This window comes from Homo sapiens, chromosome 3, assembly GCF_000001405.40.
Source record: "Homo sapiens chromosome 3, GRCh38.p14 Primary Assembly".
In the NCBI taxonomy this organism is placed as follows: Eukaryota; Metazoa; Chordata; class Mammalia; order Primates; family Hominidae; genus Homo; species Homo sapiens.
Genome location: NC_000003.12, coordinates 34,394,103 through 34,416,266, shown reverse-complemented (window position 1 = coordinate 34,416,266; position 22,164 = coordinate 34,394,103). Strand labels below are relative to the sequence as shown.

Sequence of the window (22,164 nt, the reverse complement as noted above, 5' to 3'; positions counted from 1 at the left end):
AGCAGGAAAGATCCAAAATTGACACCCTAACATCACAATTAAAAGAACTAGAAAAGCAAGAGCAAACACATTCAAAAGCTAGCAGAAGGCAAGAAATAACTAAAATCAGAGCAGAACTGAAGGAAATAGAGACACAAAAACCCCTTCAAAAAATCAATGAATCCAGGAGCTGGTTTTTTGAAAGGATCAACAAAATTGATAGACCGCTAGCAAGACTAATAAAGAAAAAAGATAGAAGAATCAAATAGACACAATAAAAAATGATAAAGGGGATATCACCACCGATCCCACAGAAATACAAACTACCATCAGAGAACACTACAAACACCTCTACGCAAATAAACTAGAAAATCTAGAAGAAATGGATACATTCCTCGACACATACACTCTCCCAAGACTAAACCAGGAAGAAGTTGAATCTCTGAATAGACCAATAACAGGCTCTGAAATTGTGGCAATAATCAATAGTTTACCAACCAAAAAGAGTCCAGGACCAGATGGATTCACAGCCGAATTCTACCAGAGGTACAAGGAGGAACTGGTACCATTCCTTCTGAAACTATTCCAATCAATAGAAAAAGAGGGAATCCTCCCTAACTCATTTTATGAGGCCAGCATCATTCTGATACCAAAGCCGGGCAGAGACACAACCAAAAAAGAGAATTTTAGACCAATATCCTTGATGAACATTGATGCAAAAATCCTCAATAAAATACTGGCAAACCGAATCCAGCAGCACATCAAAAAGCTTATCCACCATGATCAAGTGGGCTTCATCCCTGGGATGCAAGGCTGGTTCAATATACGCAAATCAATAAATGTAATCCAGCATAAAAACAGAGCCAAAGACAAAAACCACATGATTATCTCAATAGATGCAGAAAAAGCCTTTGACAAAATTCAACAACCCTTCATGCTAAAAACTCTCAATAAATTAGGTATTGATGGGACGTATTTCAAAATAATAAGAGCGATCTATGACAAACCCACAGCCAATATCATACTGAATGGGCAAAAACTGGAAGCATTCCCTTTGAAAACTGGCACAAGACAGGGATGCCCTCTCTCGCCGCTCCTATTCAACATAGTGTTGGAAGTTCTGGCCAGGGCAATCAGGCAGGAGAAGGAAATAAAGGGTATTCAATTAGGAAAAGAGGAAGTCAAATTGTCCCTGTTTGCAGACGACATGATTGTTTATCTAGAAAACCCCATCATCTCAGCCCAAAATCTCCTTAAGCTGATAAGCAACTTCAGCAAAGTCTCAGGATACAAAATCAATGTACAAAAATCACAAGCATTCTTATACACCAACAACAGACAAACAGAGAGCCAAATCATGAGTGAACTCCCATTCACAATTGCTTCAAAGAGAATAAAATACCTAGGAATCCAACTTACAAGGGATGTGAAGGACCTCTTCAAGGAGAACTACAAACCACTGCTCAAGGAAATAAAAGAGGACACAAACAAATGGAAGAACATTCCATGCTCATGGGTAGGAAGAATCAATATCGTGAAAATGGCCATACTGCCCAAGGTAATTTACAGATTCAATGCCATCCCCATCAAGCTACCAATGACTTTCTTCACAGAATTGGAAAAAACTACTTTAAAGTTCATGTGGAACCAAAAAAGAGCCCGCATCGCCAAGTCAATCCTAAGCCAAAAGAACAAAGCTGGAGGCATCACACTACCTGACTTCAAACTATACTACAAGGCTACAGTAACCAAAACAGCATGGTACTGGTACCAAAACAGAGATATAGATCAATGGAACAGAACAGAGCCCTCAGAAATAATGCCGCATATCTACAACTATCTGATCTTTGACAAACTTGAGAAAAACAAGCAATGGGGAAAGGATTCCCTATTTAATAAATGGTGCTGGGAAAACTGGCTAGCCATATGTAGAAAGCTGAAACTGGATCCCTTCCTTACACCTTATACAAAAATCAATTCAAGATGGATTAAAGATTTAAACGTTAGACCTAAAACCATTAAAACCCTAGAAGAAAACCTAGGCATTACCATTCAGGACATAGGCGTGGTTAAGGACTTCATGTCCAAAACACCAAAAGCAATGGCAACAAAAGCCAAAATTGACAAATGGGATCTAATTAAACTAAAGAGCTTCTGCACAGCAAAAGAAACTACCATCAGAGTGAACAGGCAACCTACAACATGGGAGAAAATATTCGCAACCTACTCATCTGACAAAGGGCTAATATCCAGAATCTACAATGAACTCAAACAAATTTACAAGAAAAAAACAAACAACCTCATCAAAAAGTGGGCGAAGGACATGAACAGACACTTCTCAAAAGAAGACATTTATGCAGCCAAAAAACACATGAAAAAATGCTCATCATCACTGGCCATCAGAGAAATGCAAATCAAAACCACTATGAGATATCATCTCACACCAGTTAGAATGGCAATCATTAAAAAGTCAGGAAACAACAGGTGCTGGAGAGGATGTGGAGAAATAGGAACACTTTTACACTGTTGGTGGGACTGTAAACTAGTTCAACCATTGTGGAAGTCAGTGTGGCGATTCCTCAGGGATCTAGAACTAGAAATACCATTTGACCCAGCCATCCCATTACTGGCTATATACCCAAATGACTATAAATCATGCTGCTATAAAGACACATGCACACGTATGTTTATTGCGGCATTATTCACAATAGCAAAGACTTGGAACCAACCCAAATGTCCAACAATGATAGACTGGATTAAGAAAATGTGGCACATATACACCATGGAATACTATGCAGCCATAAAAAATGATGAGTTCATGTCCTTTGTAGGGACATGGATGAAATTGTAAACCATCATTCTCAGTAAACTATCGCAAGAACAAAAAACCAAACACCGCATATTCTCACTCATAGGTGGGAATTGAACAATGAGATCACAAGGACACAGGAAGGGGAATATCACACTCTGGGGACTGTGGTGGGGTCGGGGGAGGGGGGAGGGATAGCACTGGGAGATATACCTAATGATAGATGACACGTTGGTGGGTGCAGCGCACCAGCATGGCACATGTATACATATGTAACTAACCTGCACAATGTGCACATGTACCCTAAAACTTAAAGTATACTAAAAAAAAAAAAAAAAAAAAAAAAAAAAAAGAACACTTATCATTAGATTTAAGACATATCTGGATCATCCAGGATGATCTGTCTATCTCAAGATCCTTAACTCGATTACATCTACAAAGACTTCTTTCCCAAATAAGGTGACATTCACATGTTCTGGGGATTGGGATGTGGACACATATTTTATTTTTTCAGGGTTACTATTCAATCTACTATAGTAACTACCCAGGCAGAGAGTCATTGTATTCATCTGAAGGGCAGAAACTGAGGTTTTAAAGGGTTAGATAACTTGTCCGAGATCACTAAGGGCTGGGACTGGCAACCAGGTCTGACTCAAAGGCACCTACTCTCTATGTCTCTCCTCAATCATGAGATTAAAATACAGTATCAAATGCAGTCCCAAATGGTCATGAGATCTAATTCAGATCAAATAAGGCAGGATTGTAAAAAGCCATGTGAAGGTTTGTCTTGAAAAATGAGTAAGTAGTAAAAATGCTGTCTTTAAGAAGATGATGATGTATACATTGATATGAATCAAATACCACCTATGTGGAGTCTGCAATAACAAATGTCAAGTGCTTTGGGTGAAGTGCTCTGAGCATGACATATTTCAGAGGAATAAGGGTCATTATTAGCTGGAGAGAAGAGAGGAGGTAGCTGAAAAGGCTTCTTGGCTGGATAGCGCTTGAGAGGGAACTAAGAGGAAGAGTGAGATTTAGATGTATGAAGAAGAAGATACCATAGACACTAAGAACATTAAGATGAAAGCATGAAGGAGAGAAGACATGGGGCCTGCTAGGAATCTGGAGAAATATAATGGGGCTACAGTGTAAGGTAAGCAAAGGAAATTATTGAGAGATAAGGTTGTAGGCTTGATAAAGCATTTGACCAGGCATCTTACTAAGGAATTTAGACTTGGCTTCAAATAGTGAAAGCTGCTGAAGATCAGTCAAGATACATAGTGAAAGAAGCTGATGTAAAATAGAAATAAAAGGAAATGAGATTTGCCTCTGGTTCTTCCAGTTTCTCTTTTGTGCCTTCATTGTGTGTGTGTGTTTGTGTGTGTGTGTGCGCACGTGCGTGTGCATATATATATGTGTGTATAGCATATATATGTATGTATATATGTATGTATATATATTGCACAGTTTATTAAACCATTTTAGCTCTTGTTCTGGGGAGGGATGCAGTAAAAGATAGACTGGCTCTGAGATACATCCAACACTAGGAGGTTTAAATGGTGCAATATCAGCCATTCCTTCCTAGTAGAACAAGAAGTCAATTGTTTCTGGTCCCAGGGCAGAAACTTGAGTATCAGCCCCTTTAAAATCTGGAATGAGTGGTTTGTTTTCCACTGGCCATTTCTCAACCAGCAGATTTTTTATATCTGGACACTGAGATATACTGAGGTCTACTGAGGTCTAATAGGGCTGGAATGTCTAATGAAATTGTCTACAGTGTTTGATCACAACTTGTGGGTCAGGAAGCCATTTACCTTTACTAGAAGGGCAAGTCCAACTCCCTATTGCTACACGTCTTCAGCCATGATGGGAGTGGAGAGCAGAATAAAAGGGCTGCTCACTTCTGATACCACATTGGCTGCTCTAGCAGCAGTTCATAAGGTCAAAGCCAAAGGAAGAATCAAAAACAAAAATCTAAATAATAAACCCTTTCAGCACACATTTTCATTCTCCTATCTCAAGAGTCAATCCATCTGCTTCTCTCATCACCTTTTTCTTACTTAGAAGTTATTCATAAGAGAAAACTGACCTGCTGCTGCTTCAATGTAGATTAACATTTGAAAACAGAAGAGACTGGTCTCAAATGAATCTTAGAAGGCTTTACAGTATAGGAAAATATTAATTATACCTAACATTCGTAGAGCATATTATAAAACATTTTTGCATGCATAATTCCATTTTATCTTTACAGAGTTAATGAAACAATACATAAAACATGCTTAGAGTTGTGCCTGGAACATAGCAGGTGTTCAATAAATATCATTCTCCTCCTCATTTACCACTGAACTATTTCTGCTGTCACCACTTCAGCCTGCCCTAGGCTGTCACTTCCCATTACTCTCTGTGGTGAAAACTGGGGCAATATTGCTCTTTTCTTTTCCTGCTAACAAACAGATTCTACCAAATCCTTTTAAAATGAACCTGCAGAAGTGCAGAGTGGCAGTTTCTGCAAATCATTTTTATGGGAAAAAATTATTTCTCTCCTCAATATAAACACAGCCTGGGTCTGGCAAACTAAAACAATAAAATGGGAGCAGCCTATTTGGGCTGTGCTAACAACCAAATCTCAACGGGAGATTTTAAGTCCAGGTGATTGCCACATGATAAGTTTTGCAGATGATCAGAAATATTAGTATAATCATGCTGTCATGGCTTTCTCTATGTCTTGCAGGTAAGAGGTTGGCCTTTAAGCCCAAGTCACGGAAAACTAGTGATAAACATCCTATGGCTGGCCAGATATGAAATAGTTCTCTTTGCATCTCAGTGACTCTTTCCTACACATACATACACAGACACAGACACACATATATGCACACACACACATATTATCTATGCGTACTAACCTACAGACAAAACTATGTATGAAAACAATTGAAGAATGTTGCTTCCTGTTTTGTATTGGTTGCCCGCAAAGATAAATCTAGCTCCTTTCCTTGTTTATCAACACCATGCTCATCCCTCAACATCACTTCCATATCCCCTGCTGTCAGAATTAACACCTTGTCCTGGGCTCCCAACACTAGGTACAGGAATAACTAATTAGCCCTAATTCTTTCTGCAAAGTGCAATAAATACTTGTTTGTTTATATGCTGGGCTCTTCTGCAAGAATGAAACTAGGACAAGGTCTTCTTTATCTTTGTAATTTCCCCAGGGTCTAGTGCGGTGCCTGGCACTTGGTAGGTGTTCAGAAAATGTTTGTGGAATTTAAATGAAAGTCAAGTAAAGGATACAGAGCAAATAAACACAATCACTTCTTCAAATGATTGGAAGACCCCATGTTGTTAGAGCCCTCCAGGTTCAAACACATGGAAGCTTCATGGGGAGACCAGGTTTCTTGTCTGACAGTGTATTTTCAACAGGCCCTGTGGCAAAGAAATCTTTCTTGATATTATACTGATGATTAAGGCATGCATTACATTGGCTCCCAGGTATTGTGAGACCTTTGTAAGTTATAAATGAGAGAAGGTTTAATTGTACTCAGCCTGAGAATCAAGATGATCAGACTCTATAAGGAAAGAGTTCCAGAGCCATTGCACTGATATGTGTTAGTCACACCTGCCAATCAGAAAGCATCACTAAGTTTAGGAAGATTTCATGTGCTCAAGTGAACTGAAGATCACATTATCAATAGAAATGAAAGGAACTAGAGCCAATTCCCAATGTTCTGTTGGCCAGAGCCATTGACAATATTCTAATGTTACAGAACCCTTGGAAATAAAGGTGCTATGGCTGCAACAATTTCTCCCCTTACTTCAAGATTCCAGTCAAATAGGAAGTATGATGTCTTGTCATTTGGGGACAGTGTGATGTGATTGTTAAAAAGTGATCCTTGTGTCTAGTAAGGCCTGATTCAAATCCCAAATCTACCGACAGACAGGTTGTGATATTGTGCAAGTTAATGAGATTATCTGGGCTTCAGTTTTCTTCTATAAATGGAGATAATATTAAAATGGGGATAATAAGATCTTCCTCATTTAAAAGGTGTTCATTTCCTTTCCGTCTGTGGCTTCATATTACCCACTCTAACCTAAATACATAAACAGGAATTTCACTCACTCATTCACTCACTCTGCTGTTTCTGGTGGTCTTCTTAAAGTGCATAAAAATATTACAACACAGGAAATTGGCATGTTCATGCGGTGTCCAAACACTGTGACCTATGAAGCCAAGAAGCATAGACAGATCATTAGCACCGCTTAATGTAAAAACAGATGACTGCTGTTACAGGTTAAACAAGCTACCCTCTTTCACAATGCAGGGCTAAGTCAAGGCTCTGAGTAAAGGGGATCTGGGCAGAACATCTGCCATATCCACTACACATAGATAAATTGTACCTGGCTGAGAAATATTAAAGTATGATGAGTATGTGCACCCCTCATGGTAACCTGGACCCCAAAGTAGTCTATCCCACAGTGTGGCAGCCTCCAGTTCTAACCTCAGATGATAATTGAGCCTGACTATCCATGAATTATTACACATAAGTAGATGTTGTTAGTGTTCCACCTCTATTTCTTTGCACTCATCTTGCTAGTACATACATGTTGCAATTTAAAGCAAGCCCAAAGACTTTATTTTGCCACCCACAAATTGGGCAGGCCATAAGTTCCACAATTTTGGTGCTCCCGGAAGGAGCCCTCAGTAATAACAAGTGGAAGCTGGAGGATAAATACCAAGCTTCCTCAGCCTTCAGGTGGCATACTTGAAGGTGAGTTCTGCATCATCTCCCAAAGCTCCCCAGTAGGGTTGAGCCCCAATTGCCCATGGTGTAACTGACTAAAAGGTATATATTTTGGGGCTGTTTTTCTCTTTCATGTCTTGTCTTTGAATGCTTCCTTTGATCACCCTTGAAATAAGCTACTTGTTCTCAAATCCTTATCTCAGAGTCTTCTGGGAAAACCAACCTAAGACCACATTTAACCACTAAGACTCAATAGCTACGTTCCCAACATAATCTAATTCTTAGAAAATTTGTATTATATTAACAAGACGCATGATAACTCTTTGTTATAACATTATTTAACTACAACATATTTTCCCACAGGGCTGAAAAATAGTTAACTGTACTTGCGTGCACACACACACAGAGTCTCAGTTTGAATATTATGCAAATGGAACAAGGCTTTTGAAGCATATAGCTGTCTGACATTACCCAAGGAGCCACAACTGACATTTGTATACCCCCACCTTGACTTCTGGTACTTTCCTCAGCACCAAAGCTCCTCCACTGATGAGTAGAATCTGACCACCAGCCTTCCTCCTCTTCCTCTACTTCCTCCTCCTCCTTTTTCTCATTCTCCTCTTCTCTTCCCTTGCTTTCTTTTTTCCAAGTATGATCATTACAAAATACCAAGACATTTTGAATTTCCATTATTGCTACACTAGCAAATCTGAATTGTAAAGTAAAATAAGTCCTGTAAAATGAAATAGACCTATTATTTCTTGTACTGCTCCATGAGCTGAGAGAGTGACAAATGGGAGACCAAAACACCAGGGCAGTTGGCGTTAATTAATACTAAATTTACTGAATTAAACAATGAATTTTAAAGAAATAATTCTAAGATGTCATTTCAATTAAGGCACTGTCACTGAGATAATGGATGTGGGTGGTGTCCAGGAAGGTTGATGATGGCACTGTTACAGGAAGAAACCATTAACTCCAAAGAAGCAAGTACATGAAAAAGAGAGAAAATAAAACCAAGTTTTCCAAGGCTTCTAGAAGAAACTGTCGAGCTGTTAAGCATCAAACTTCTCTACCTTTTCAACAAAGAAAGATGTATCTTGATTAAGCTCAATTAAGCTCAATAATCCTGAACAGATCAGTTTAGTAGTTCCTCAACTTTACCAAGGCTGAGCAAAAATAATTGCTTCCCTGGGTTTAAGGGAAAAGCAGGAAAGATTATTTAGGGTGAAAAGTTCTAAGTGACATAAACCTTGGCTTTCCTCCCAAAAATGATTTCCTCTGCCAGGCTCAGAGAAAAGAACTGTGAACCTAAATATATCTGAGACAAGTCTCTATCAATTTAGAAAGTTTATTTTGCCAAGGTTAAGGATGCACCAGTTACATAGCCTCAGGAGGTCCTGACGACATGCCCCCAAGGTGGTCAGGGTACAGCTTGCTTTTATACAATTTAGGGAGACATAATACATCCGTTAATACATGTAAGATTTACATTGATTTGATCAGGAAGGATGGGACAACTTGCAGTGGGGGTGAGGGGAGGCTTTCAGGTCATAAGTAGGTAAAAGACAAAAGGTTGTATTATTTGGGGTCTTTGGTCAGCCTTTCACTAAATACACAATTTACATGTGAGAGGCGGGTAGAGGAATAGTCACTTATGCCTTAGTCTGGCTCAGTGAATCTGCATTTTTACATAAACAGTGAGGCAGAGGAAGCAATCAGATATGCTTTTGTCTCAAGTGAACAGAGGGATGACTTTAAGTTCCATCCTTTGTCCCACACCTGTGAAGATAAGCTGTTAATTTACATTGCCAGGGTGAAATTCAACAGAATTATTTTAGGGTAAAGATCTTAAGGCCCACAAGGAATTTTCTTGTGGGCAAATTGTGAGGAGGTATGTAGCTTTTTAAAAATCCTTGTAGCCATCCTACTTGGGAATAAAATGGGAGGCAGGTTTACCTGGCGCAGTTCCTAGCTTGACTTTTCCCTTTGGCTTAGTGATTTTTAGGGTCCCGAGATTTTATTTTCCTTTCACAGAACAATAGCATCTTTCTAATGTTTGGAAAGCTGGTACAGGAAGAGGGAGGAATCACAGCCACAGACTTCAGAGCTAGAAGAAACTTTTTAATTGTCATTGAGTTCAACTACAAAATTGTCCAAACAAGGGTAAGGATCCAGAAACTGGAGCTTTGCCCAAGGCCACATAGTCCAGACCCCAGACCTACAGCCTGTTTATTTCTTCCTCAACATCAAAGTGGTTCTCTATCTGTGCTGAGTATAAGGAAACATCCTGAAGAGGTCCTCCGACTAAAAATGAAAATTAAAAATTATAATGAAAGGAATAACCAAATATGTCACTAACAGGCAAACACATCTGTCGATCTCAGTTTGTTCATCTATAACATGGATATAGTAACTACTAATTAAAGGTTCACTACCTGTAGGAGCACCCTGTTTTCTCATTTTATGTATTTAATACATGTCTGTCCCATTATTTAATTTTGAAGAACTCCAGTATGTCTGGAAAAGGAAATGTATGTGTGCACATTAAAATGCTGGCCAGAGGCAGGGAAGGGGAGTAGGGGAGCAAACACTCAGGACTTGTCCTCAAAGCTCCTTCCCTCACAGGGTGACTGACAGTTTCTGTGTTCTCCACGAGTAAGCCATGTGGAGGGGATGGAAGGGACACCATCAGTCTAACTGTGAGGAATAACTGTGAGTCCAACTGTGTTTTACCAACCCTCAGATGGCTTCCATTGTGTTTTCTGGTTTGTTTTTGTTTTGTTCTGCTTTGTTTTCCTTCTCTATCTTAGAATTTTTCTTAAAACAAATAGCTCTTCTGGCCCAGGACACCCCTGGGGATTTTTGTTCACCGTCACACTCTGAAAAAAAGGACAATTTCATTTTTAATTATAAATATTCATGTGTTCAGCTGAGACTGTGCATGTCATTATGATTCCCAAATTAGTTCAGAAAAAAAACTGACATTTTATTCAAATTTCTTTATTCTCCATTGAAGCAGAATAGGGTGACATTTTGCTCATGAAAGAAAATGGAAATTTTTCGTTGTGTTTGTCACCTGAATATTTACCATTCTCAATGATTTCCCATTTGCAAAGCTTCCTTTCTGAGTTACAAGAATCCGAGGGATCAAGAGAGTTAGGGCCCTTCAAAGTTTACGAGAGAGGAACTGACTTAGACAATTTTAAAGCAAACTGAAGGTGACAACATGAGTCATGCAATGTCCTCACCACTAGCCTATTATTATCCCTCACTCTACACATGGAAAAACTAAGAATCAGAAAAGTTCAACAGTTTGCCTAAGGTCGTACAGCTCTTACATAGGAGAATAAATGGAAATGAAGCTCTTTGGATTCCAAACCTAGTTCTCTTTCCAATCCACAACAGCTGCCCAAACATTGTAAAAGCCTCTGACCAGCCCAACTTCCAACTGAGTGCCACTTAATAAGCCAGCTGACACACCAACCAGAGTTATTCATGTTTCACAGATGAATGAAGGAAGGCAGAAGGAAATTAAGTCATTTGACAAATTTTTTTTTAATTTTATTATTATTATACTTTAAGTTTTAGGGTACATGTGCACAATGTGCAGGTTTGTTACATATGTATACATGTGCCATGTTGGTGTGCTGCACACATTAACTTGTCATTTAGCATTAGGTATATCTCCTAATGCTATCCCTCCCCCTCCCCCCACCCCACAACAGTCCCCGGTGTGTGATGTTCCCCTTCCTGTGTCCATGTGTTCTCATTGTTCAGTTCCCACCTATGAGTGAGAACATGCGGTGTTTGTTTTTTTGTCCTTGCGATAGTTTGCTGAGAATGATGGTTTCCAGTTTCATCCATGTCCCTACAGAGGACACGAACTCATCATTTTTCATGGCTGCATAGTATTCCATGGCATATATGTGCCACATTTTCTTAATCCAGTCTATCATTGTTGGACATTTGGGTTGGTTCCAAGTCTTTGCTATTGTGACGAATATTATACAAAGGCACCTAAAGGTTCTTGTTCTTGAAGATTCTCACCTAAAAAAATTCAAGTTTAAGTAGGAACAAAAAATGGAAGAAATCATGTGTAGGACCACTGATCAACCACAAAAAGCGGAGTGTAAATTCTTTCCACAAACACAAGGAATATATTAGTTTTTTAGGCTAACACATTTCCACTAACTTAGAAGCTTAAAACCCATTTAGTATCCCACAATTTTTGTAGAGCAGAATTCTGAGAACAGCTTAGCTGGGTCCTCTGCTCAGTCTCACAAGGCTGTAATCAAGGTGTCAATCCAGTCTATCGTCTTATCTGAGCTTAGGGTCTTCTCCCAAACTTACATGATTGTTAGAAGAATTCATTTACTTTTGGCTGTACAATCCAAAGCCATGAGGACAATTTGTCTAACCTCTAGGAAGGCCTAGGCCTTCCTTTTAAGGGGCTTTCCTGATTAGGTCAGGCCTACCCAGGTAATCTCCCTTTTGATTAACTCAAAGTCAAACTTATTAGAGGCCTTAATTACATCTATAAAATCTAATTATCATTCCCATATAGTGTAACATAATTATGAGAGTGACATACATAATATTCTTATGTCCTGCCCACAATCAAAAGGAAGAGATTATACATGGTGCATACACTGAAGGGTAGGAATCTTGGGGATCATCTTAGAACCCTGAGTATCACGGAAGCAATAAAACTTTCTAACTTGTAGCTCTCACATTCTACTGGTAATCCATACATCAATGTGGCACTGCCTCTGGGTTCTATACAGCCCTTTTAAATGAATGCCAGATAATTACTCATTTAGGCAAGCCAGGATGAGTACCTACAGTCATGCCTGACACAAAACAAAGAAGTCCAGAAATTCCAAAGCAAATAAAAACCAATCTTTTCTCACCAGATACTTCTAATTTAAAGACAGCTTGAAATGCTATTTATAAAAATTGGTAGGTCACTTCTACAGGCACAGGCCAAGTTACCAATGATGAACATGGGGAGTCAAAAATAAGGGATCCCAGAACAAATAGAGGAGCCATTTCAGGGTCTTTAAGATGAGATCCAAGAGTAATGCAGCCTTTGTAAGGTTTTGCTGGGATCCAACTTTAGAAAGAACTGAAAAAATAAAACCCAAAGAGATCCTGGGCTAAGCATCTAAAGACTTAGAATGTGGCCCTAACCTGCACCATCCCCTTTGTGACATGAATAACTCTCTTCCCATCTATGGGCCACACCATCCTTACCTATAAAATATGAGTGACCTGCCCAAGTTGAGATGATGTCTAAGGTTTTCCTCCTCAAAAAAAATACTATGATAATATTAATGATTCACGAGCTCAGGCATAGTCAATAGCATTTGTCATATGACTTCTCTCTTGTCATATACACTTGTATGTCCATGGACAATTTATTTAACCATCTAAGACTGTTTGTTGTTTAAATGGAGATAATAATGACCACTCAAGGTGGTAGTGAGAGGGTTAACTGATGTGATGTATAAGTCAACTACCCAGCAGGGTTCCTGGCACATAGTAGGCACTACTGGCCTACTCTTAGCATCCTCCATCCCCTTAAGAAAGCAAACTTCCATGAGATTACTTGTGAAATACTAGAGGCTATCTGCCTGCTATGTGAGTATACAGAAAATTCAGGTCTGATAGTCAAAACTAATAATGGTATTCAATCTAATTTTCCAAGCCAAAGGAGTGGAATGCTGAACCATAATCAATCTTTAGAGGTCAATTCACAGGGGATTTACCAGTTGAAGGCATGATGCTCCCTTGTGCAGAAAAATGCCACATTTTTTTCAGCCCTGTGTCCACACACATACTTTCAGCAAGATGCCATGTGGCTCTCTTAGACACTTGAAAACACACCCACCCTCTCGCATGACCTTATGTACTCAACTGTTTTTTGATATCAATTATTCCTTTAGAAATGATAAACTGTTTGATTCATTTTAAACAGGGTTCATTTACCTTGCACATAAAACAAATATCAAGAGTCTAGCATCAGTCTTCTTCCCACTCCTGAGCCCAGAGAGCCATATCCCTTCCCCAGAGGCAAACATTGTTGCCAAATTTCTGTGAACCCTACCAGAGATTGTGTGTGTGCACATATATAGGTATATACATAAATATTCACATACATGCATATACATTCCTCTACAAATGATAACATACTATATGCACTAGCACCTTGATATTTTTCTACACTTTGCTTTTTTCTGTACCTTACTTTTTCACATATGTTGGAGATCATTCTTTAACTGTACATATCAAGTTCCCTTATTTTCTTAGTGACTGCATAGTATTTCATTGTATGACTAAGCCATAATTTGCTTATACAGTCTCCTTTTGATAAATGTATGTATATAAGCATATATTCTTTCCCAAACTTTTCTTGTTCAAGTAAGCTATTGCTATTTATGTAATTAATAATCTCTTATTTACATTGGCTTAAATTATTGTGAGTATATTTTTAGGATAAATTTCTAGGAGTAAAATTGTGTCAGTTGTTGTTCCAATCATTTTACATGTATTCATTCAAAAATGTTTATTGAGAATCTAGTTAGGTGCTGTGAATATATCAGTGAACATAATGGACAGAATTGATCTTGTGGTGTTTTTATACTGTAGTAAAAATAATTAATTTGCTTTTCACAAAAACTGTTTTTGGATAGGGGCTATTATTCTCACATTTTACAGATAGGGAAACTGAGGTACAGAAGATTAAGCAAGTTGCCCAAGAGCACATAGGTCGTGTCAGGGATTAAAACCAAGCAGTCATATTCCAGAGTTCAAAGTCTATGCATCTTAGCACATGCTACACTTTCACACCTCTCTTAAATGTTACTCTACAATTCAACTTAATCTTACACAACGACCCTATTTATTTTTAACTTTTAGGTTCAGGGGTGCATGTACAGGTTTGTTGTACAGGTAAATCACATGTCACTGGAGTTTGGTGTACTCATTATTTAATCACCCAGGTAATAAGCCTAATACCGCATGGGTAGCTTTTCAGTCCTCACTCTCCTCCCATCTTCCAGCCTCAAGTAAGCCCCAGAGTCTATTGTTCCCTTCTTTGTGTCCATGTGTGCTCAGTGTTTAGCTGTGACTTATAGGTGACAACATGTGGTATCTGGTTTTATGTCTGTGTGGTAGGACTGCTTAGGATAATGGCCTCCAGCTCCATCCATGTTGCTACAAAGGACATAATCTTGTTCTTTTTTATGGCTGTGTAGTACTCCATGGTCTACATGTACCACATTTTCTTTACCTAATCTACTGCTGATGGACATTGGATTCCATGTGTTTGCTATTGTAAATGGTGCTGCAATGAACATATGTATGCATGTGTCTCTAGGGTAGAATGATTTACATTCCTTTGGGTATGTAACCAATAGATTGCTGGGTTTAATGGTAATTGTATTTTAAGTTCCTGGAGAAATCAACAAACTACTTTCCACAATGGCTAAACTAATTTACATTCCCACCAACAATGTATAAGCATTCCCTTTTCTCCACAATCTCACCAGCATCTGTTATTTTTTTAACTTTTTAATAACAGTCATTCGGGCTGGTATCAGATGGTTTTACATTGTAGCTCTGATTTGTATTTCTCTAATGATTAGTGATGTTGAACATTTTTCCATATGCTTGTTGGCTGCACTTATGTCTTCTTTTGAAAAGTGTCTGTCCATGTCCTTTGCCCACCATTTTCTCTCATTTGCATGTTTCCCTGACTCCATTATTGACTTCTTATGTCTATCGTCCACACTGCAACCAGAGAGTTATCTTTCTAATATGCAGCACTCATCTTGGTACTCTTTGGTTGCTTTAAACCTTTCAATGATTCCTATTCCCTTCTTTATAAAGTCTGCATTTCTTGCATGGCCAGGAAGCAGACACCTATTGGTAATCTCTGTACCCTCTATGCCACTCTCCACATACCCCATCCCACTAAACACACGCCATTGTTCAATCCAATTACGTGGGGGACCAAACTCTAGCCTCTTGACTTGTAAGTCCCACCTCACCTTTGTCAAAATCTTCTCAGCCTGGACTTCTTCTGCCTTAGGGTAGAGTTGGTCTGTTGCTTCATACGGATCTCAAAGCCCTTGGTAAATATAGGAGCTGGTCTCCAAAGATGCACCCCCCCAACACAACAAAGAACAATGCCTCTGTCAGTATTTGTGCTCTTTTATAGCCCCACCCCTTGAATCTGAGCAGGATTGGGACTCACTGGTAACAAACAGAATGCAGTGGAAGAAAAACTGTGTGGCTTCAGAGGTTTACTAAGAAAAAGCCTTGCAGCTTCCAACCTTGTCTCTTGGAAGGTTTAATTCAAGGGAAGCCAGTCACCAGAAATATTTATCTACATGAGACTGTCATGCTATAAGAAATTTTAAGCTAGCCATATGGAGAATCCATGTGAAGAAAGAGATATCTGTCAGACTATCTAACAATGGTTCCATTCATCCCAGAAGCTAGATGTGTAAGTAAAGAAAGCCTCAGATGATCTTAGTCTCAACAACCATTGGACTGCAAAAACACAAGAGAACCCTAGCTGAGTCCAATACCTCAAGAATCATAAGAGATAATAAAACTACTGTTTTAAGACACTAAGTTTAGGGTAATTACTATTCAGTCATAGATCACCATAAATATTCCTGAATTGGTATATAGACTACTGTGTAATAATTATTTGTCTTTCTATTTTCCCAACTAGGTCATCTGGGATTAAGGCTGTCCAGAGATAAGTTCATATCTGAGTCTCATAACACAGTATATTGACAAGAATATAAACTCAGGAAGTGTTTGATAAATAAACCAATGGATGGGGAAAGAGTGGGATTTTGAGGAGGATGACTCCTTTGTACCCTGGGCCATCTTCAGTGGGTCCACCATTATTGCTTCCACAAAAGTTTAGTTTTACAAGCATTTACTGGATGACTACAGTGTTATCCGTGAGGCCCTAAACATGAGCTTTGGAGTCAGATAAACCTGAATTCAGATCTCAGCTTCATCACTTGCAAATTATGTAAACTTAGGCATTTGATTTAAACTCTTACTTGCTCATTTTCAAACTTTGGATGATGAAATGCCTAACTTCTTGAAATTGTGGTGAAGATTGCATGATATGATTTTTAATCTTCACAGTATATGACTCAATGTTTTTCATGAATGTGTGTTAATTTGACAGCATGTGTAAAATACTTAGTCCAGTCATTAGTAAAAGAACTAATGAAATGGCCAATGCACTTAGTATAGTCTAATTAGGCTAGGCATGTTCCTTCCTTTATTCTGTTTCCTTCCCATAAAGTCAAAGGGGCAGCTTAAACTAAGACTAAAAGATCCACAGTACAATTAAAAAATGGTAGTGGCCTGGTTTAGTTTTGAGTAGTTATTACATGCCCAGAATTGGCATCAGCAACAATGAATCCATGTCCATACCTGCAGTCAATACCAAATTTCAGATTATAAACCAAACTTTTCTAAGAAATGAGCATCCTTACAAGTAATAAATTCTCCCTCTGGCATTCTCCTGTTTCATCCTTCCAAGAAACGTTGAGAAGACCGTGTTCCAGCCACCACTTTGTCGAGTTTTGTCATTTGTTTCTCTTCTTTAGTAAAGAAAATTATTGAAATAGAAGGGCTCTTGGCCATTTCTCCAAAAAGAGAACCTTTCAGGATGACATTTATGTGTAGTGGGATGTTTATCAGCAAAGAACATTTCTGCCTAAAGCAGAAAATGATTCCGTGAGGTAAAATTATAGGTGATCGATTACTCATGCCAAACAGGAAGGGCAAAATGTCAACATTTATATCCAGAGGATTGGGATTCCTGTAACATATTCTTCCCACGGTGCACTTAGTGTGAAGGGCTGCTTCTACAAGCCATTTCTGGGGCACTTTACCTGGAGTAACACAAATATCTTATCACCATAAATAGGGAGAAAATAACAGGGACTTTGATTTCTCCAAAGAAATATACTCATTATGATCAAGGAGAGGAACATTGGACTGATTTAACATACATAAATTGGCTGAAGACCTGTCTAGTGGCAAATATATCCTCTTCTCTCCATTAGCCTGTGGCTGTAGGTATTTAAAAATCCATTTCCACAGTGCTGCCTAATAATAAATATAAAATAGTTCGGTAAATCTTCTTTGCCAGCAAACATAGAAAAACTTGTCTCCTGCCTTGGGCACCATAGTTTGTCCATATAACTTGTTTTCCTTTCCCAATATTGAGCCTAGCACATGCATTAAAACTTACGTGAGCGTACCAAACAATTGCCCTCAAGAAGACAAAATGTAGCACTGAAATACATCAGAGGCTCAAAATTTAGAAGGCCTTAAGAACATCTATTTTCTCTCTTCAGCCAGCTGTCCTCAGGCTTGAGAAAGATGTCCCCTTTCTTGAACAAACTCTATATGAGGTGTCCTCCTCATACTCTTGCCATTACTTATCCTTTAAGTAACATCCTTTAAGAATCAACTCAGCTGTGATCTCTGCAAGAATTCCTCTTGACACCGCAAGTTTGGTTACAGATACCATTGTGTGTCCCTATCCCTCTGTGCTTACTTTTGTCACACTGCTATAATTCTTCATATGTCTCTTTCTTTGAAGAGATGCAGATTCCTGCACAGTAAGGCTGGGTTGCATTTATCTCTATAAACCTAGCAACTAGTACTGGGCCTGGAATGTAGTTGGAGCTCTGTAATGCTGAATGAAGCAAGGTGGATGGGAATAATCAAACCATATACCCCTCCCAGAAGAGTCCTTGGGTAAGATATTGTCCAAGATTCTAATTTCGTGGATATAGTTATGAAACCTAAAGTAGACTGAGGGAGTTGCCCTAGATCATACAGCATGTTGGTTTTAGAGAGGGAACCGAATTTAGTCTTCCTAAATCCAAGTTCAGGACTCCCTTATTTAAATTAAATCAACAATATGTATTAAGTATGAGGAATTCCACAAGGAATTTATATTTCAAGAACAAAAAGAACTATGTGATACATGAAACATAGATGAATGCAAAATGAGCTCTCGCATATGTACAAATAAAATGGTATGGGAGAATGGTGATAACGTGAAATTAATTCCAGGGGAACTGAATCAGATTCTTGGTGTTTTGAGTTACATCACTTTGAGTCACATGACGTTGTCCCATCTCTCATTTCAGCTTCAACTCTGTTCAGCCATGCAACCTCACTCTCACGCTAACAAGCATCTCACCTTTAACAAGCACTTTACATTTTCCTCTTCAGGGCCTGCTCCAGTGTTGGGACACCCAGCATTTATGCAAGCCCTGTGGAAGAGAATTTACAGCCTCTAGGAGCAATGCTCAACAAATGGAGAACAGAAGTCAGTGGATAAATATCCCAGCTGCCTATCCTTCAGATGTCCAGGAATACTGGAAGGCATTCTATGCATCTTTAGAAATGGAGGTCCTGGTGAAACTGAATCATGTTGCCCACATCAATGACCTTGAGAACACATGCTTTTATTGGCTTTTCCTCTTTCTCTGTCTCACCCCAGACCCTCACATCTGTTTCTTAGATAACTTCCCAAAAAAGCTGCCTGTAGAGCCTTGTCTTAGGTTCTGCTTTTGGGGAAACCAAAATTAAAACAGAAAAATGGAGATTCAGGATTGCTTTATAAGTGTCATAGGCCCTGAAACTTTGGCTTTCATGGGCCCCTTCTTCCATTGAAACAAACTAACTAGGCAAAATAGAACTAAAAATTATATTTTACCACAAACATTGATATAAAGATGTATAATCCATGGTGGATTTATTACTAGGTATTTATTATTAGTATATTTATCTTTTCCTTCTGATTTTAAAAGCATTTAAAATGTTAATGTTTTCATGGACCCTTGATACTGTACTTACTGTGCCTAATGGATAAATCTCCCCTAAGAGGTGAAAATACAAGGGAATAATATCATAGATAAAATATCATTGGACTGCCACTTGACAGGGGCTTCAATATGGCAGACTAGAAGACATCTGGCACTTACCTCCTCTACAAAGAAATAAAATAGCAATTAGATAATGTCACTTTTAATACAGCATCTAAGAGACAACACTGGAATTCAACAGAGAAGTGAGGAAATACCTGAGGCACAGAAGCAGAGGGAAGTGAGGCAGCCAGATTGGCCAAGCTTGGCTGGGAGCCTAGAGAGCCTCCCCCGTATGGGAAAAAAGAAAGTGACAGATCCCCAGCAATCCATATGTTTACCATGAACTCTTGTAACCCTAGCCACAGGAGAACTTCTTGATCCTCATGGGCCCTATGACTAACATAGGAAGCTGCTGGGGACTATGTGATGGCTTTACTCTACAGAGGGAGCTTATGCTGGATCCCAAACACCCCCTATGGTAAGTGCCAGATGTCTTCTAGTGATTCATATTGAAGATCCTCCCAAGTGGCACTCCAATAACATTTAATCCATGAGATTATTCCCTTGCTGCACTAAGCAGATGCAGCATGGTGCCATTTTGAGAGTCCAACACCCACTATACTGCATGCTTCCCTGGGACCCAAAAGCTCTTGCATTGCTATATCCCTGGAGCCCCACTAACATCCTCTCACATTCACCTGGAGGGCTGCATTAGCACAATGCTGGTGGCACCCGGTGGAGTAGTAGGGTCCCCAGAATTCTAGCACAAACTGAGTCTTACTCCTTGGAGAGACTTCCCCCAGGACAAAGGGAACCAAAGTGCACACTCCCTAGAGCCTGAGAACCACTTGGGCGTTGCATAAACAGCAACCCTCATCCTCAGCAACAGGACTGCCACACACAAGCCCGAAAAACAGGCTGTGCAAATGCCCACTGCACTGCACCCACTGCTGAGGTGGCTATGGGCCAAAGAAGAAGGGCCACTGTTCACTTGAATGCCCCCTGAGGACTGGCTTTTCCCATTGCTGCCACTGCTGTTGCCATTGCCACTGGCCCCAGGGGCTGAAGTTTACACTCCCCAGAACCTAAGAACTGCCTGCCTGTGGCTGCAGCCAAGATATCTCCACATCTCCCCACTGGCAGCAGAGCTGCAGCACACTCGCTTATGCCCCTGTCTTTACAGGCTTTCCCCACCTCAACTGCTGCAACTGTTGCAGGCACCCAAGCACTCCACCAGGGGGTCTAGGGATCACTCTATGCTGACCACTACAGCCAGCACCTGAGCACACCAACAGAGGGCCTGAGGACAGGCCCACCCAGCTGGACACTACCTCCTGAGTGACTAAGCACAACATCCAGGAGCCTGGGAATTGCCTCACCCCGTACACCACTGCTAACATCTACACACTCCTCCTGAGGGCCTGAGGATGAACCCACATAGCCTGTCACTACCACCAAAGCAAGCACCTACCAGAATATGCCATAATAGAGCCTGAAAACTGGCCTGTCAAGCCCATTGCAGCTACCATTAACACCAACATGTGATGCTTCAAAGAGTTGTCCCACCACTGCTGCTGCCATTATCCAGGCTATGCACACCATCCAGGGGACTAAAGACCTGCCCACCTGCTGAGTCCAACCCTGCCACTGCCAGGACCTAAGCAAGCCAAGAATCAACCTGTTTGGAGTCACTGACACCCATGGTCTCAAAAACAGGAGAGACTGGCCCATGCTTCCACCACTGGGGCCTGAAGACTGGGCAGCACAGCTTCCACTAACAACCACAGCCTACAACACAAAGGAAATCACAGACACAACTGACACTGTTTACAGCCTAATAAATCATACGGAGAATAAACTACTGCACACACCACAAATCAAAGCTAAAGTGTTCCACCCAACCAAAACTATAGATACATCTTCATGAAAAAAATCTTCCGCAAAAAAAGCTAATCCAAAAAAGTGGGAGAAGCCACTGTTATACCAGATGTCCAGGCATCAATGTAAGGACACAGACACACATACACACAGACACACAGACACACACATGAAAAAATAAGAAAATATGACACCTCTAAAGGAACACAATAATTTCCCAGCAATAGATTCCAATGAAACAGAAATTTATGGGAAGCCAGAAAAAGAATGCAAAATAATATTAAAGAAGCTCAGTGAGATGCAACAGAGCACAGATAAACAATACAAAGACATCAGAAAAATAACTTAGGATATAAGTGAGAAATTCAGCAGAGAGAGATATATAAAAAAGAACCAAACAGAAATCCTGGAACTGAAGGATTCAATGAATGAAGTAAAAAAATTATCAGGGACTTCAATAATAGACTAGAACAAGCGAAGAAGGACTCTTAGAACTTGAAGACAGGTCTTTTGAAATAAACCAATTTTTAAAAATTTGACATTATATCAAATATTTTCTCAGACCACAGTGGAATAAAACTATAAATCAACAACAAAATTAATTTTGGAAACTGTACAAATAACATGCTCCTGAAAGACCAGTGGGTTAATGAAGAAATTAAGAAAAAAATCAAAAAAATTCTTAAAACAAATGAAAATGGAAAAACAGCATACTAAAAACCTATGGGATACAGCTAAAACAGTCCTAAAAATAAAGTTTGCAGAAATAAATGCCTATATCAAAAAAGTAAAAATATTTCAAATAAAGAACTTAACGATGCACCTCAAG

General features: G+C 39.4%; 1 long non-coding RNA gene across 11 annotated transcripts in view; it reads right to left on the bottom strand.

The window, feature by feature from the left end:
• LINC01811 (long intergenic non-protein coding RNA 1811) overlaps positions 1-22,164 on the bottom strand; it is a 276,733-nt gene that overhangs the window by 19,830 nt on the left and 234,739 nt on the right. For 5 of the 11 annotated variants that reach the window (NR_183682.1, NR_183680.1, NR_183685.1 and 2 more), the window contains one exon: positions 6,906-7,006. The exons of 3 other annotated variants lie outside the window; for them this stretch is intronic. This is a non-coding gene — a long non-coding RNA (long intergenic non-protein coding RNA 1811). Of the gene's footprint in view, positions 1-6,905; positions 7,007-18,787; positions 18,861-22,164 lie in introns of all 11 variants that reach the window. 3 more of the 11 variants (NR_183677.1, NR_183679.1, NR_183686.1) reach the window with 2 other exon arrangements.